Raw genomic sequence first — 16,015 nt, 5'->3', positions numbered from 1 at the left:
TGGAGACAGTTACTTAAAGAAGACTGAGATTACAACAGAGCTTTAATTTTCAAAATGATGGGAAATTTCCCTGTAGCCAACCTTATAAAACCATCTCTTAAAAAAGAAAAATAAGGACAGAAGGACTTAAAGGCAGGTTCCATAAGATGTGAGTACCTGAAGATGGAAGGAGAAACCCAGCAGAAATTAGAACCTGGCTAAATAGAGAGTGGTGCCATGAGGAAGGGTGGTACAATTCGCCTATAGAGAGACAGAAAGCACACCAGAGTTTGAGGGACATTTCAGTCGCTTGATGTGCTGCTAGCTTGTGGACTATACTAATCTCTGAACTTCAAAGGAAGGGGCTGTGTCGGCCTGAGAAGAGACGATGACCCTCTTCTAGGGTGAGCCTCCATATGTGATGAGGCGGCTGAGCCATAAACAGAAGACATCAATCTCAAAAGCAGGGAAGTCCTAATGTGGCCCTGGGAGGCTGGAAGGGTAGAATTGTTGTCTAGATCAGCACAGGAATTTCTGGACTCCCTGTGCCAAAATCTAGGCAGTCTGAATGGACTTGTCCAGAGGCCCTGGTAAAGCAAACAGGTATCCTAGAAGCAGTGATAGGGGACTAAGAGTCCTGCTAACAGAGAGTTCTAGCATAAAGAAAACCTTTATCCAAGGATTGACTGACTATCATGTTGGGAAATGCTCTGCTCAATTTTTGAGCCCTGTGATTTTAGCTATGGCAAATTACATAAGCTTTATCAACTTTTCTTCTCTTTTTAAAAGATTCTTTTAAAGCAATGTGTGAGAGTCCCATTTGCTCTACATGCTTGCTAACACTTGGTATAGCCAGTCTTTTTAAATTTTGACTATTCTAGTACCTGTGTAGTAGTATCTCACTGTGGTTTTAATTTGCATTCCCCTAATGGTCAGTTCAGCTGAGTGTCTTTTTATGTGTTTATTTGCTATTCATATATCTTGATTGGTGATGTGTCTATTTAAATCTTCTGCTCATTTTTATGGGGCCATTTGTTTTCTTATTACTGAGTTTTGACAGTTCTTAGTATAATCTGTATGCATGTCCTTTACTAGATAAGTGGTTTTCAAATATTTCTGCCCATCTGTAACTTGTCTTCTCATTCTCTTAAGTGGCTTTCAGTAACATACGTTTTTAATTTTGCTGAAGTTCCACTTATCTTCGTTTCTCTTTCACGGATCATGATTTTGATGTTCTATCTAAGAAATCTTTGTCTAATCCAAGGTCATAAAGATTTTCTGTTTTCTTTTTAGATAATCTCTCCGTTTTAAAATGCTAAAAATCAATTTTAAACTGTATTAAAATTGTATGTAGGCCAAAACAAAACACATTTATGGGGTCTGTCTAGCCTGTGGGCCACCTTTATAACCTTTTACTTGTAGAATTGTCCCATGTATCCCTAATTTTATATCAGGCAAGGCTAAAGAGTCCCTGGCTTAACTTCACAACACATAATGTATCATAAGAAACTGTAGTCAGTCTTGTTCAGGGTCATCTTTTTCTTACAAAAAAAAGGCCTTCTTTTTCAAAAGTATTGAGATGTCTAAATCCTGTTATTGAGCATTGAAAGATGAACGATGGCTTCGTTCTCCTGAGTCTGGGCTTCCTTGGAGTTCTCGGGAGATGAAAATGACATTCACTTTAGCAAGATGTATTAGCAATCTACCGCAGCAACCAACTATTCCTGAACTTTAATAGGAAAGTTGTAGAGAAGAGGGGGTTTGGAGAAAAGGCAGAGAAAAACCAGAATTTTCTGTTTACATTTTGCTTTCAGGTGACTAGGGTCCCTGCCAGTTGGGGCCCTTTATTCTTCAGCGCTATCTCAGAACTCAAAAGACGATTTCAAAAGCACTTGTCTAATTAAATGTTCTTCTTTTAATATCAGCTCTCCAGGATAGCATTTTTAATACACTGAAAGAGACAAAATTCTGGCCCTGGGCAAATGTTAAATATATTTTTGTGTAGTCAACAGAGAAAGAGTGTTCTTAGCCCCTCTGGCATTGTTCTGGAAATCCACACATGATGCAGGAAATTAGTTGTCTCTTGTCCAAAAACTGCTCACAGGAATGGTTTTTAAAAGTGCAATCAGACACCACTAAAATGCAGAGTGCCATTCAGAATGTGCAATGTGTGGAGCACAGAGGCTTCAGAATGTTGCAGTCCACAGGCTAAGGAAAGACGGGCTTCAGCAGAAACTTAGTGGGAAAAACCTTTGCTAAACCTCTGAAACCACTGCAGCATTAAACTTCAGAAACCCCAAAGAAGCTAAGGTTAATTATTGAGCCCCAGTGCTCTGAAAACACGTGAACCTTGTCTTCTACTACAGCTTAGATGCTGATTTTGATCAATAGGCATAAACTTTCCTTAGCCATTCTGAGGCTACTCTGTTGGTCATTGCAACAAGATTTCAAAAGCAGCCCTGGAATCCTATGAACAGTATGTTTGGAGAAGTGGACATTTTCTATTTGCCTTTAAAAGAGAATATTGCCTCTGAGTCTCCTTCATCTCCTCTTCCAGGGTATACATGATATTCTCAAAGCAGAGGGATGGCTTATCCCTCCTCTGAAGCCATTTCACACGATTATATCTATTTGATTTTTTAAAAGGAAATGTAGAGTATCAGCAAGTGGTTAAATGCCTCCAAAACTTCCAGCAAGTCAACAGTTAAAACTTGAGTGCCACTTGGGACCAGACCTTTTTGATTTTGTACCAGCAGTCTAGTACCTTGGCCTCTTTGTATTTCTTTCAGTATTTAGTACTCTTCTTTGGTCAGTTCATCACAGTCCAAAGTGAAGCGACTGATTCTTGCAACTAATCCAAGGTAGGACAGGTTTCAAATCTAAATAAATATGAACTAAGGAATAATGTTCCTAGCAAACTCCATTACTGCGGAACTTCAAATAACAACATGGGGTCTGTTGATTATCTTAAGGGTGTCCTCTGTGTCGTTCACAGAGAGGCTCACTCAAACACAGGAATTTGGGACTTCATTATCCCTCCACACACTTCAGGATAAAAATTAGTTTAACTCAATTTTACTTAGTAGAAAACATATCACCCACCACAGAGAAAGGCAGCCATTCCATTTTAGTTTACTTTTTGCTAGTCCCAGATGACACGGTCTAGCAAGGAGAGCATGACCCTTGCGTTTTGGAGATAGGGGTTTGAATAGTAGCCCTGCCACTTGTCTGTGAAGCCTTGAGTAAGTGTTCTGACCTCTGAAACTGTGTCTTCATATACAAATGCAGCTACTGACACACAGGTCAGAGAGTTGCCGTGAGAATTCAACTGCGCTTGAGCAAGGTACCCAGGAGCCATGGCTTCTTATGCATCTCTTCTTACCGCACTGGATATTCTATCATAGCATTCACCACCGTGTGCTACAATTGTTCATTTCATCTTCCGACTTCCCCCAACACCCCTTTAGGGTAAGGACCATGTCTTTCTTGCTCATCTTTGTATTATTCACCTAATGCAGGCTTAATACAGAGGAAGCATTCAATACATTTTTTTTGAAGGAAAGAAAGAAGAAAGGGAAGGGAAAAATAAGTTGATTAGAATAGTGAAAAATAGTAAAACTACTATTTGGAATCAGATGGATTTCAAATCCAAACCTTGTTACTCACTAGCTGGGTGACTTTGGGCAAGTTATTCAACTTTCATGTACGGGGAGAAGATAATAATACCCACCTCAGTAAGGCCTATGAAATTATTTTTGCAAAAGATTTAGCATAAGGCTTGGCACATGATAAGTGCTCAATAGTCATTATTCTCATTATTATTATGTAGTTCATTGGAATTCATCTGAAATCTAATTGGCACTTTGCAAATGTTTAGGTAACCATTGCTTTGGTACTTACTGGGTGAAACAAATATAGAAGTCATCCAGGGATGACCTTCTGCTATCACTAGAAATAAGTTGTAAATACTCAGCACCTATCCTGCAACTGCATACAAGACACGAAAGCTGCCACTGTCATCAGCAAGTCTGACCCTGTTTGGAGTGTGGCATTTTAACTGATTCCGACAGACATTTGAACGACGCTTATCTGTACATTCAAGGCACAGGGCTTAGGGTTCTAAGCCTTTCAGAAATAAACTGGATCCTGCCCTCCAGGATCTGGCAACTCATAAATCACTATAAGAAAAGGCAGAATGTGATCAAGTGCTCCAGCCCAAGCACAGACCATGGTCTGATCCCCAGGGTGTAAGGATGGGTGACCTGCTGATTGGGGAAAATGGGCTCTGGGTTCAAATCACTATCTCACTATTTACTGGCTTGGTGTAACTTCATTTCCTGATATGCCAAGCGAGAGCACCTAAAGTATCCGTGGTGAACATTAAATGAGAAAATACTTGTGTAAGACTGAACACAACACCTGGTAAGTGCTCGATAAATGTTAACCATTATTATTGTGGCTGTTATTATCCAGCTAGTATTACTTTAACTGGATAATAGTAATATTAGTATAGATATTAATATATGACATAACACTACTCACATATTAAAACTAACATGTATCTCTATGTTCCTACAGTTAATATAATTATAATATTATTTTATAATAAATATTTGTATCGACTTCTCAAAAAATGTTTCATGAAATTTGTTTGTAAAATAAATCTAAGGCAACCATTCTCAGACTTCAGTGAGCACATGCACCACTTGGAGAGCCACTGAAAATTTCTATTTTCACCCCCAGAGAGCCTGATTCAGTAGGTCCAGAATGGAGCTCTGGAATCTTTATTTTAGCAGGCTTCCTGTGTAATTCTGATGTAAACGGTCCTTGAACCACTCTTTTAAAATGTTGGTCTAAGGTTTAGGAGTTTCTCTCTTGAAATATATATATATATATATATATATATATATATATATACACACACACACACACACACGTATATATATATATACACATACGTGTATATATATATATATACACATACGTGTATATATATATATATATACACACACATACGTATATATATACACATACGTGTATATATATATATATATACATACGTATATATATATATATACATACGTATATATATATATATATATATACATACACACACACACACACACACACACACACACACACACACACACTTTTTGCTATCCTTCTATTCATCTTGGAGTTTTAACTGTTTTTCCCAACCCAACTATCTCGCTGAGCATAAGATTCCCATCATTTACACAGGTGGATTTTCTTTTCCATTTTGGAAAACTATTTAGTCTCTGAAAGTTAAGGTGCTTTTCCTTGAGTAGGACTAGGGCAAATGTAGTGGAGACTCCTTTTCCTGGACCTCAGCTAGGAAATGACAGAGAAAGCCAAAAGGGTCTCCTCTTGAAAGGTCTCTCCACCAAGAGCAGTTTAAACTGCAGGAAGTCTGCTGAACTGGATTATCCTGTGAGTTGCCCCTTCCCCAGGTTATGTGGCCAGTGTTTGCAAGGAACATGTGGCCACAGAAATGTAGCCCTGTGTGCCATGGGGGAATCCAGGGCTTTGGTTTGCTGTATGTAGCAGCTGTGTACACGATGAGGTGAATCTGAGGGACCAGGGCGCCCCGTCAAGAGGCAAATAATGCAGGAACCTGCCCGAATCCTGCTGTCCTGGGATCTGCCCTTTCTTGGCTCCCAGTAGAACAGCTCAGGTGCCTGTTCTGAAGGAAGGAAACTTGAAAACACAAATCACAATGTCCTTTGTGCCCTCTCTACGTTTGAAGTTGAATAAACTCTGCTCATGGATAAGGTGGCAGAAGGACAAAGGAAGGACCCTGGCTACCAGGGCTGGACTGAGTCCCCTCACAAGGGGCTCTGCCATGGAGGGCTGGTACAGGGTGGGGTAAAAGTGATGAGAAAGAAACTAAAAATACATTTTTTTTTTATACTTTAAGTTTTAGGGTACATGTGCACAACGTGCAGGTTTGTTACATATGTATGCGTGTGCCATGTTGGTGTGCTGCACCCACTAACTCTTCATTTAACATTAGGTATATCTCCTAATGCTATCCCTCCCCCCTCCCCCCACCCCACATCAGGCCCCGGTGTGTGATGTTCCCCTTCCTGTGTCCATGTGTTCTCATTGTTCAATTCCCACCTATGAGTGCGAACATGCGGTGCTTGGTTTTTTGTCCTTGCGATAGTTTGCTGAGAATGATGGTTTCCAGCTTCATTCATGTCCCTACAAAGGACATGAACTCATCATTTTTTATGGCTGCATAGTATTCCATGGTGTATATGTGCCACATTTTCTTAATCCAATCTATCGTTGATGGACATTTGGGTTGGTTCCAAGTCTTTGCTATTGTGAATAGTGCTGCAATAAACATACGTGTGCATGTGTCTTTATAGTAGCATGTAAAAACACAATTCTGAACTTAGTGGCAGTAATAAATATCTTCTTAAGAAATTGGAAGATCAAAAAATGGCTTTATCTGATAGTCACAAAGCTGTTAAAATAATGGTTAATGCCCTAGCTGTAAGACAAGTAGCTGTTAGTCCTGGTGTTTTCACATCTCTGGATACCTGAGAAGTTTCTTAGGATCTGCTGTAACAAACTTTAGAAATTGAAAAGTTGGTTATCTGTTACTGTGTAATAAACTACCCCAAAACTTAGAGCAACCTTTTTTTTTTTTGGCTCACAATTTTGTGGGTCAAGAATCTAAGAAGGGTTCAGCGAGGGGATTCACCTCTCTGCTCCTTGGTGTCAACTGTAGCACCTGGGACTGGAGGATCCATTTCTGAGATTCTGGATGGCTTCTGTGCTCACCTATCTGATTCTTCAACTTCTTTTCACCCCCACCATGACAATTTATCTGCTGGAGCCCCTGTATGTGGCTTGTGCCTCTCACAGCACAACAGCCTCAGGGTAGTCAGACTTTTACCATGGAACCTCAGTGTTCCAACAGAACAAAGTGGAAGCTGCCAGTCCTTTTAAAGCCTAGGCCCAGGGTTGGCATGCATCACTTTCACTCTCTTCTGTTCATCAAAATGTCACAAGCCAACATGGGTTCAAATAGAGAAGAACTAAAACCCACTGGTCCATGGAAGGAATGTCAGAAAATTTCCAGCCATTTCTAATTTGCCATAGTCAGTGTTTAAATAGAAAAGAGAAATTATCTTCGAACATAATTAAATCTACCAACACCAGTAATTTTAAAGATGCAACCATCTTAAAGCAACCAAACTTTTCAATATCCAATGACTGGTCTATGGCCTCTGCTCTCCATACCCAGACAAGAAGCTGATTGCTAAGAAAGGTCAGGGACATGAAGACACTGTAAATAGACCAAAAGCTATTTTTAAATAGAAACTATTAGTTGTTAAAAAAAAAAAAAAGGATTCATTTTAATGGAATTGACTTTTATCTTTGAAAATGCTAAGTCCTTGGCTGTTTCAGAAAAAGAGTGGCACTGGAAGCCTAAGAGTAGCCAGTAGCTCTATCTACAAAGCATTGTTACTGTGGACCACTTCCCGGGACCAGGAGATAAGTTCATTGTTCAATGCTCTGCTTATGGTATTCAGAGTGACCCTTGCAGTCTACACACAAACAGTTCTTTGTTGCTGTGGGTGCAGCAAATTCTTTACCGTGAATAATCTACTACAACAAATGTCCCTTTAGTTCCTTCTCAGTTCTTGAGAGTATTTGAGCTCTCTGCAGAGAAAGAAATCCCTGCTCAATAGGAATTAAATGCTGGAAAAGCTCTCTTTAAACATTGCTATGGAGAATAAATGGAATGGCACGATTTGTTCTACAAGTACCACAAAGGAATAAATGAATGAATTGGAGACAGACATAGATACAAAGCACTACAGCAGTAAGAAAGCAATGTGGTAGAGTCATGAGGCATCTGGGCTCTGGAATCACCTAGACTGGGTGTGTATCTATGCCTCATCACTTTCCATCACTTGGACCTCATAGGTAAGGAAAAGACCACAATAGAAACATCTACTTCCTAGGACTGCTGGTTAAAGGGTTAAAGGAGACAATCCCTGCAAAGTACTAAGTGTGCAGTAAGCATGTGATACATGGTAGCTGCTATTGTTATTACTACCTTTACCACATCATGGATTCACACTGCTTTTCAGATGTGCAAAGAAAATGTAGTTTTCTAATTTTGCCATTGTGGATGTAATATTCTTCAGGAGTCCCTCACCTCTGTGGGTAGTTGGGAAGGGAAGAGTTTACTTATTTAATTTTTGAGACAAAGTCTCACACTGTCACCCAGGCTGGAGTGCAGTAGTGCAATCATGTCTCACTGCAACCTTGACCTCCCAGGCTCAAGTAATTGGCCCACCTCAGCCTCCTGGGTAGCTGGGACAACAGCCATATGCCAGCATGAACAGCTAACTTTTGTATTTTTTGCAGAAACAGGGTCTTGCCATGTTGCTTAGGCTAGTCTCAAACTCCTGGGCTGAAGGGATCCTCCTGCCTTAGTTTCCCAAAATGCTGGGATTACAGGCATGAGCCACCACTCGTCAGGGAAGGGAAGATTTTAAATATGTCAACTTAAGTGACCTCAATCTCTCTGGCTTGAACGCTTTTTTGGGGGAATGACTTCGTCTTGTTTAGGTCATCTAGATGTTTTCCCTTCCCTCTACTTCTCACCAAAAATGGAGTCAGAGGGTCTATATGGGAGGTGAAGGCCAGGGACCCATAGGCCCACCTCTGGTTCTTGCTTTTCTCTGCAGTGAGTGTGTCTTCGTCCTGCACTGGCATTGATGACACTGACAATCATGGATCCAGTCACTTGCTCCAGACCTCTGCAGTACCGCTGGCCTTCCCAGCACCTCTGAGTACCATCATGGGGTGGGATGCACAATTTTGCTTCCAGGAGACATTTGGCAATATCGGGAGACATTTTTGGTTGTTACAACTGGGAGGTACTACTGGCCAGAGTTGCTGCTAAACATCCTACAGTGCTTGGGACAGACGGCCAACAACAAAGAATTATCTGGGCCAAAATGTCAATGGTGCTGAGGTTGACAAATATCTGATGTAGAGTTACACAGGACCCCCCAGGCCACACCCAAAGAAGGCAGCCTCTAGATTTCAGATTCTCAACTCTTCTTAAATCTATCTAGATGTTTCCACCGCACAGCAGTGTCTCCCTCTCCCACTAGTTCAGGCTTCCACTCTGAGATTGGAGGACGTGGGGACATAAGGGCATGAACCCCTAACCACTTCTCTTCTCCTCACCTTTCACTGGGGGCAGAAACAGTGGGATTTCCTACCCTTTCCTGTAGGACACCAATTTCCCCAACTTCATTTCCTCCTTCTCCTTTCCGAGGTGTTGTTTGCTCTGGAGTCTTTGCTGGGGCCAAAATGGTGGAATGAGTGCAGGGAGAGAGGCTGACATCACTGAGGAGGAGAAAATGAGAGATACTTCAAAAATGCCTTGTTACACTTTTATTAGTATTAATAATATCATACAACCAGCTGTGTTCCTTATGCAAGGTGTATTGGTTTGTTCTTGCACTGCTGTAAGAGCTACTTGACACTGGGTTATTTATGAAGCAAAGAGGTTTAATTGGCTCACAGGCTACACTGGAAGCATGGCTGGGGAGGCCTCAGAAAACTTAGAATCATGGTGGAAGGGGAAGGGGAAGCAGGCATGCTACATGGCTGGAGCAGGAGGAAGAAAGAGAAGGGGGAGGTGCTACACACTTTTAAACAACCAGATCTCATGAGAACTCAGTCACTATCATGAGAAGAGTGACCCATGATCCAATCACCATGATCCAATCACCTCCCATCAGGCCCCTCCTCCAACATTGGGGATTACAATTCAACGTGAGATTTGGGCAGAGACACAAATCCAAACCATATCATCAGGCATAAAACTTGATAAAATATGCATCGTATGAAACTATTTACACAATAAAGAATTTATTGCTACCAAAACACCAAAGCAATGTATTGTTTTAGGTTTCTTTTTCCTAGGTAGCCTTCCCTCTAATAACGTTGGGCTGCTCCCAAAAGGTCTACCCTGATCAAAAGAAACCCTGCTCACAGGCCACATGCTTGCCTCTCTCCACCTCTGAAATGCACGAGCCTATGCTCTGCTCTCTTGGCATCAGGTCTCTACACGTTGGTGGCTGTATGGATTCTGCCCAGGCCTGAAAGCTGCCTGCAATGACTAAGGTGGTCAGAGCAACTCACTACCCAGGAGAGCAGAGTGATGAAAAGCACAGGGCCTGGGGTGGGGCTGCTGGCCTGGGAATGCTGGGTTCAACATCTGCTAGAGGTGGGATCAAGAGTCAATCACTTCCTCCCTGTGAACTTCAGTTTTCTTGCTGGAAAATGGAGATGATAGTATTCACCACAGGGGTTGTTTTATAGTCATTTGGGCTTTGTTAGCAAAATACCACAGACTAAGTGGTTTAAACAATGGAAACTTACTTACTCACATTTCTGGAGTCTAGAAGTAAAGATCAGAGTGCCAGTATGGTGAGTTTCTGGTGAAGACCCTCTCCTTGGCTTGTAGATAGCCGCCTTCTCACTATGCCTACACACGGCCTTTCCTCTGTGCAAATTTAGCAAGAGCAAACTCCTATCTCCTCGTCCTTTAATGAGGCCACCAATCTTATCGAATTAGGGCCCCACCCTTGGAACTCATTTAACCTTAATTACTCTTAAAGACCCTGTCTCAAAATATAGTCACATTGGGGGTTAGGGTTTTAACATGAATTTGAGGGGGAAACAATTCAATCCATGTCATTGGGTTTCTTTAAAAATTACATCATCCAGGTAGTGTTTGAATCTAGTTAGAACTCAATAATTATCTCTTATTATTCGAATTGCGGTGGTTGTTGTTAGAATTGCAGAGCACCATCTAACCACTGCTTGACACCTACCATGACAGGAGCTACTGAGTAGGGAATAGGGAAGGAAGAGACACTGCTGACATGCAATAGCAGACCCAACAGCCGGGCCCCAGGAAGTGCCCCAGGAAGGTGCCATATTGGGCAGGAAAGAAGAGGTAAGGACCTTACAAAGAAGAGCAGGTCACCAATGCTAAAAGAAAACAGTCTTTATTTATTTATTACACAATCATACTAACAGCTGCCAATTATTTATTTAACACTTACTATGTGCTGAACACTTTATTCTCTCTACCAACTCTTTCCCAACAACCTCAACAGATGGAGAAACTGAGATTCAGAAAAACAAAATGGCCTTGCCAAAGTTACATAGCTATTAAGTGGCAGAAGCTTTACTTATTTCCAAGATTGGATCCCAAAGTCACGCATGCACTTTCATCTCCTGTACAAGCTCAATGCCATGGACAAAAAGATTGGAAGATGTGGTCCATCTCCCAGAATCATTATTAATTAGAAGGAGGAGCTGATGTCTAGCAACATGTCACTGTATCCAATGTATAGAATTAGCTCTTGCAGCATTTGGAAAGGGCTAGAAAAATTCTCCATTTGCCCCAAAACATATTGGGCTGAGAATTAATATATAAACTGGAGAGATGAGGGGATTGAGGGTATTTTATCAATTGGCTATTACTGAGTAACAAGTAATACTTCAGTGGATTAATTAAAACAATAACCACTTATTCTTGCCCACGGGTCTGCAGGTCACCCGGGCATTGTCTCGTCTAAACTGGGCTCAGCTAGGTGGCTCTACCTCAAGCTATAAGTCTGGCTACACCTAGCCCCATGCTATGGGTTCTTTATGTATTCCTCTAGGCTTCAAGCTGAGGGGAAGCAGATAACTGAGAGAGAAATGATGCCTCTTATAGTCCAAGTGCAGAACTGGTACATGGTCACAGCCATCCACACTGCATTGACCAAAGCAAGTCACAGCCAGTGGAAAAATTGACTCTGCCTTTTGTGGGAGGGACTGCAATATCACATGGCAAAGGGTGTGGACCCAAAAACAGCTGAAGCATGAGGTCAATAATTCCATCTACCAAAGACATTTTCTGATTTGGAAAGGAATGGCTAATGTAGAGGGAATAGAATAGATAGAGAGGATCTATACAATCCCACTGACTTTCAAACGATTTGCCAGAAAGGGCTTTGCCTATGAATAAAACACCACATCTCATTTCTCTAACAAAGAAGACAATTAAAGACAAACCCTCCCACCCTCCCACTTTCCCCTTCTTTTTCCTTACAAAGTATACGAAATTGTAGGATGCCAAAATATTAGGCAAGCCTGACTAAAAAGAGAGATCCCTCAAGTCTCAAATTTCAACCATCTATAAAAGTAGCATTTGGAAAATTTCTGTGAAAAATGCAAACCTTTGCACTTGGGTCTCAGAGTCCCCATTTTATCTACACCTCTGTAATCTGTAAACACAGACGCCATCCTAACTGCATGACAAATAGGAACAAGTATCCTAATTAAACAAAAAGACAAAAGACCCTAGAAACATAAATTGGAAAGGACTCAGGTCATATTTTATTACAGAAAGCCAGGGAATGCCTCTAGCAATGTCACATTACTGGATAGAGCTGTATTTACATTTTGTTGAGTTGGTCCAGCAGTTCTAATGATGGGGCTGTTTTTGAATCAGGGAGATGGTTCCAATGAAAAACTGGATAGGTCTGTCTTTTCAGCAGAAATCTCCCTGGTATCATTTTCTTTTCTATTCTATTTAGGCAAGCTCCACAGTGCTAACTATTTCAGTTCCCAAGAGGCAAGGAAACTTGATGAGCTCTTTCTTGGGGTCTGTGTGGCATCTGGGTACCCTCTTGCTCCCACTCTCTAATGAACTATGGGGAAATTCTTCATGTAGCTTGGTGTACAGGTCAGCATCCAGATGTCTTCTTACCCCAAACTACAGGGTCTACAGGGTTGTTCAGCCCTTCCTTCCATTCAGCAAGTAGTTACAGATCTCCCATGGTGTGCCCAGCATTGTTGCCAGGCAATGGAGGGTAGCAAAGGAGGGGGGTGTGAAATTATGTTCTCTGCACAAAAAGCAGTATTGTCTATCCACTCACTAGGTTCAGAGCTTTAGTGGCTTTAGTTGCACTACAACTGGACAACTAGGGGTTAAGTGTTTTGAGCTTTGCTTATAAAAAGACAGACCCAAATCAGATAAGGTAACTAATTTAGAAGCAATTACAATGCATTTTATCCTATTCTTTTGCCAAAGAGCACCTTATCTAAGCTGGCTTTCCTTTTTACTTTTCCTTTTAAGTCTCAAAAATATCTCATTCAGGGTCAGGAAAAAGAAGACGCACAGACCAAGCATTTTGAAAAGGGGATGATGAATGCATTGGATGCTTACACTGTGTTGAAGAGGGAATTTGGATCCAACACCCACCAGGTCTTAGGGCTTGACAGACTCACTCGAGTATGCCTGACCAACCTCATATTCTGGTGGGGATTTTTGTTTTCCATGAACATATGGATTGTGTTAGTCTTTAGGAAGCACTTAAGCTAAAAAAGAAAACAAAGTTAAGATACAGTACTTTTTATTATATGAAAGCCTAGTTCCTCTTTTTGTACTATTTAGTATTCTGCCCCTGGTTATTTCAAAATAAACAATTTTTGAAGATAAGTAAATAAGCATTGCTATTGAATACAGTGGTTCTCATACTCTTGGATGCATAAGAATCCCCTTGGGAGTTTGTTAAAAATCCAGATTTCAATACAGTAGACCTAGATAATAACCCGCAAAATTTCCATTTTTAATCATTTCTCCAGAAGATGTGGTTTACAAACAAGACTTTGAACATCACTGGTCTAATTACCTTTCTGATTGTCTTTGGTTGACTCTTAGTCATTTGTATTATGGCTTACTTCTGACTCTACCAGTGAATGACAAAGCATGACCTATTCTTGCTTTTCAGAAAGCACTTGCCTCTCCCTGGCTATATTCATTTGTGATTGGCCCAAGATGAGAGAGATATCACCTGAGTCATCAGAGAAGGAGGCTTGAGCCACTTTGTCCCAGGACTCAGAGGAAAATATGGGAGACCTCTAGACCAGTGCTTTTGAACCAGGAGCAATTTTGCTCTCTACATTTAACAGTATCTGGAGACATTTTTGGCTATCACAATCTCAGCATGAGGGGGGACAGTGAGGAACGCTACTTGCATCTGGTGGGTGGAGACAGCGTTGCTGCTAAACATCCTGTCATGCAGAGTACACCCCTCCACAACAAAGCCTTCTCCAGCACAAAGTGTCAACCAGGCTGAGGTTGAGAAATCCTGCTTTAGGCCCAGCTGTTCTTTGAAGAGAATTTGGAGAGTTTACACCCCATTTCCACATGCCCAAAAGATATATTGAGCCCAGATGGTGAGAGTCTTGAATGCCATTATTAGGCATGTAGACGTGATTTCATATTTAGTAAGCTTAGAAAAATAAGAAAAATCACCTGTGCTTGCAAAACAATTAGCCAAGAGGAGTAGTGATGACCAATGCGAAATAAATAGCTCTTAATAGACACATGCATGTCGAATTTTGACACTAAGAAAACCACATTGTAGTGGGTCAGTGTGTCTAAATAATTGGTTTTAGCTAATTTTGTTGTAGCACAAACTCATTAAGATGTGGCCAGGGACATAGATAAAAACAGCACAGTCCTTGCCCTCAAATAAATTATTTTCTGAGTGGAGATCATGTGTACCCCAAAACTCATAATGTAAAGTGGAGCAAGATGAACTCAAAATGCAGCATATGAAACTACAGTAAATAGGAGAGGGGAACCTGGCTGTCCCGATGGAGGGAGACTAGGTAGGCATGGGAGGAAGGATCAGGGAAGCATATGTGATATTTCTTGAGTTTGCTCTTAAAAAATACGTATGATTTTGACAGAAGACATGGAAACAAAGTTATTCAAGCAAAGATTCAGAGGCAGAAATGTACAGGGTGGTGGTGGGGTGGGGATAGTGGTCCCAGATGAGTGAAGAGGAAGGTTTCATTGGTATGTGAGGGAGAGAAGTGAAATTGACCCCGTTTGGGAAGGTTCTGACTGCTTGGCTAATGTGTTCGCACTCTGTTCTGTGGGGAGCCAAAGGACCACCCAGGTCCTTGATCCTGGGAGATTCTGATTCCTAATCTAATCCCCGTAGCTCTAAACAGTTCTCGGGCGAGTCAATAAGGCATGCAGGCACACACTCGCTCTGTGGGTCTAGCTGCACCTTTCCCCTTCTTCTCAGTTCCCATTTTCCACCTGCAGACTCGGCTCTCTAGAGGCCTGTTGACCATTAAGTTGTGGGTGACAGGTAAGAGATGTGATTGTTTGCAGGTCCTGTGAAGAGTGTAAGGAGAATTTCCAGATTTTCCAGGCTCCTGGCTCTCATTAACCTCAGGAGCACAAAGATCACCTCTCCTTATTCACAAAGCCAGCACTATACTTCGATGTCAGGAATGAGTGGAGGTAGGTTAGTTGTCCATGCTCTTTCACCAAGGCAGCCAGCCATGCTAACTCCATGTCAATATACACTTATTTTAAACTGCTTCCTTCAACAGGGTACCACCACCTAAACTACTCTCAATCTTTAAAGTTAGCAGGTAGTTACTCAAGTAAAAGTGTAAATACAAATGGCAGCTTTCCTATAAATACTAAAAGTATAAGTAGAAGACAGCACAAAAGTGACAGATATCCCTCTGGATAAGCAGTCCCTGAGAACCAAACCAGCAGAAGAGACTTTTGATGAAGGTTGCACAAATTAGCAAGAGGATTTCATGTTCTTGGAGCCATGTTCCCAAAACTATGTTCCATGAACGCATTCAGGGTCCCTGAGACCATATTAGGTGTTCCACAAAAGCAACTCCACAGTCAAGTAGGTGTGGAAAATTCCAAACAATACTCTAGGCCCTCCATAGTCTCTGATGAAGTTTCAAAATTCCCCCGCATGGGATGGCATTAAATATTCTAAATACTAAAGAAAAAGATGTGTCTGACTTTGATCAACCCAGATTTTCCAAATAAACTTCTTTTATTTAAGGCTTTTAATTTATTTTTTTAAGTAGTGTATCTACCAACATTTCATGGGTACTTAGATATTTAGCAAGCACTTCCCAT

At 41.3% G+C, this 16,015-nt stretch overlaps 1 protein-coding gene and 1 long non-coding RNA gene across 4 annotated transcripts in view; one reads left to right on the top strand and one right to left on the bottom strand.

Moving 5' to 3' along the window:
- The window catches only part of LOC101929727 (uncharacterized), a 248,010-nt gene that overhangs the window by 171,769 nt on the left and 60,226 nt on the right, over positions 1–16,015 (bottom strand). The window lies entirely within an intron of this gene.
- Positions 1–16,015, top strand: part of RNLS (renalase, FAD dependent amine oxidase) — a 411,796-nt gene that overhangs the window by 374,966 nt on the left and 20,815 nt on the right. The window lies entirely within an intron of this gene.

This window comes from Homo sapiens, chromosome 10, assembly GCF_000001405.40.
Source record: "Homo sapiens chromosome 10, GRCh38.p14 Primary Assembly".
In the NCBI taxonomy this organism is placed as follows: domain Eukaryota; kingdom Metazoa; phylum Chordata; class Mammalia; order Primates; family Hominidae; genus Homo; species Homo sapiens.
Note: the sequence above shows the minus strand (reverse complement) of the source record. Positions and strands in the feature narration are given on the sequence as shown.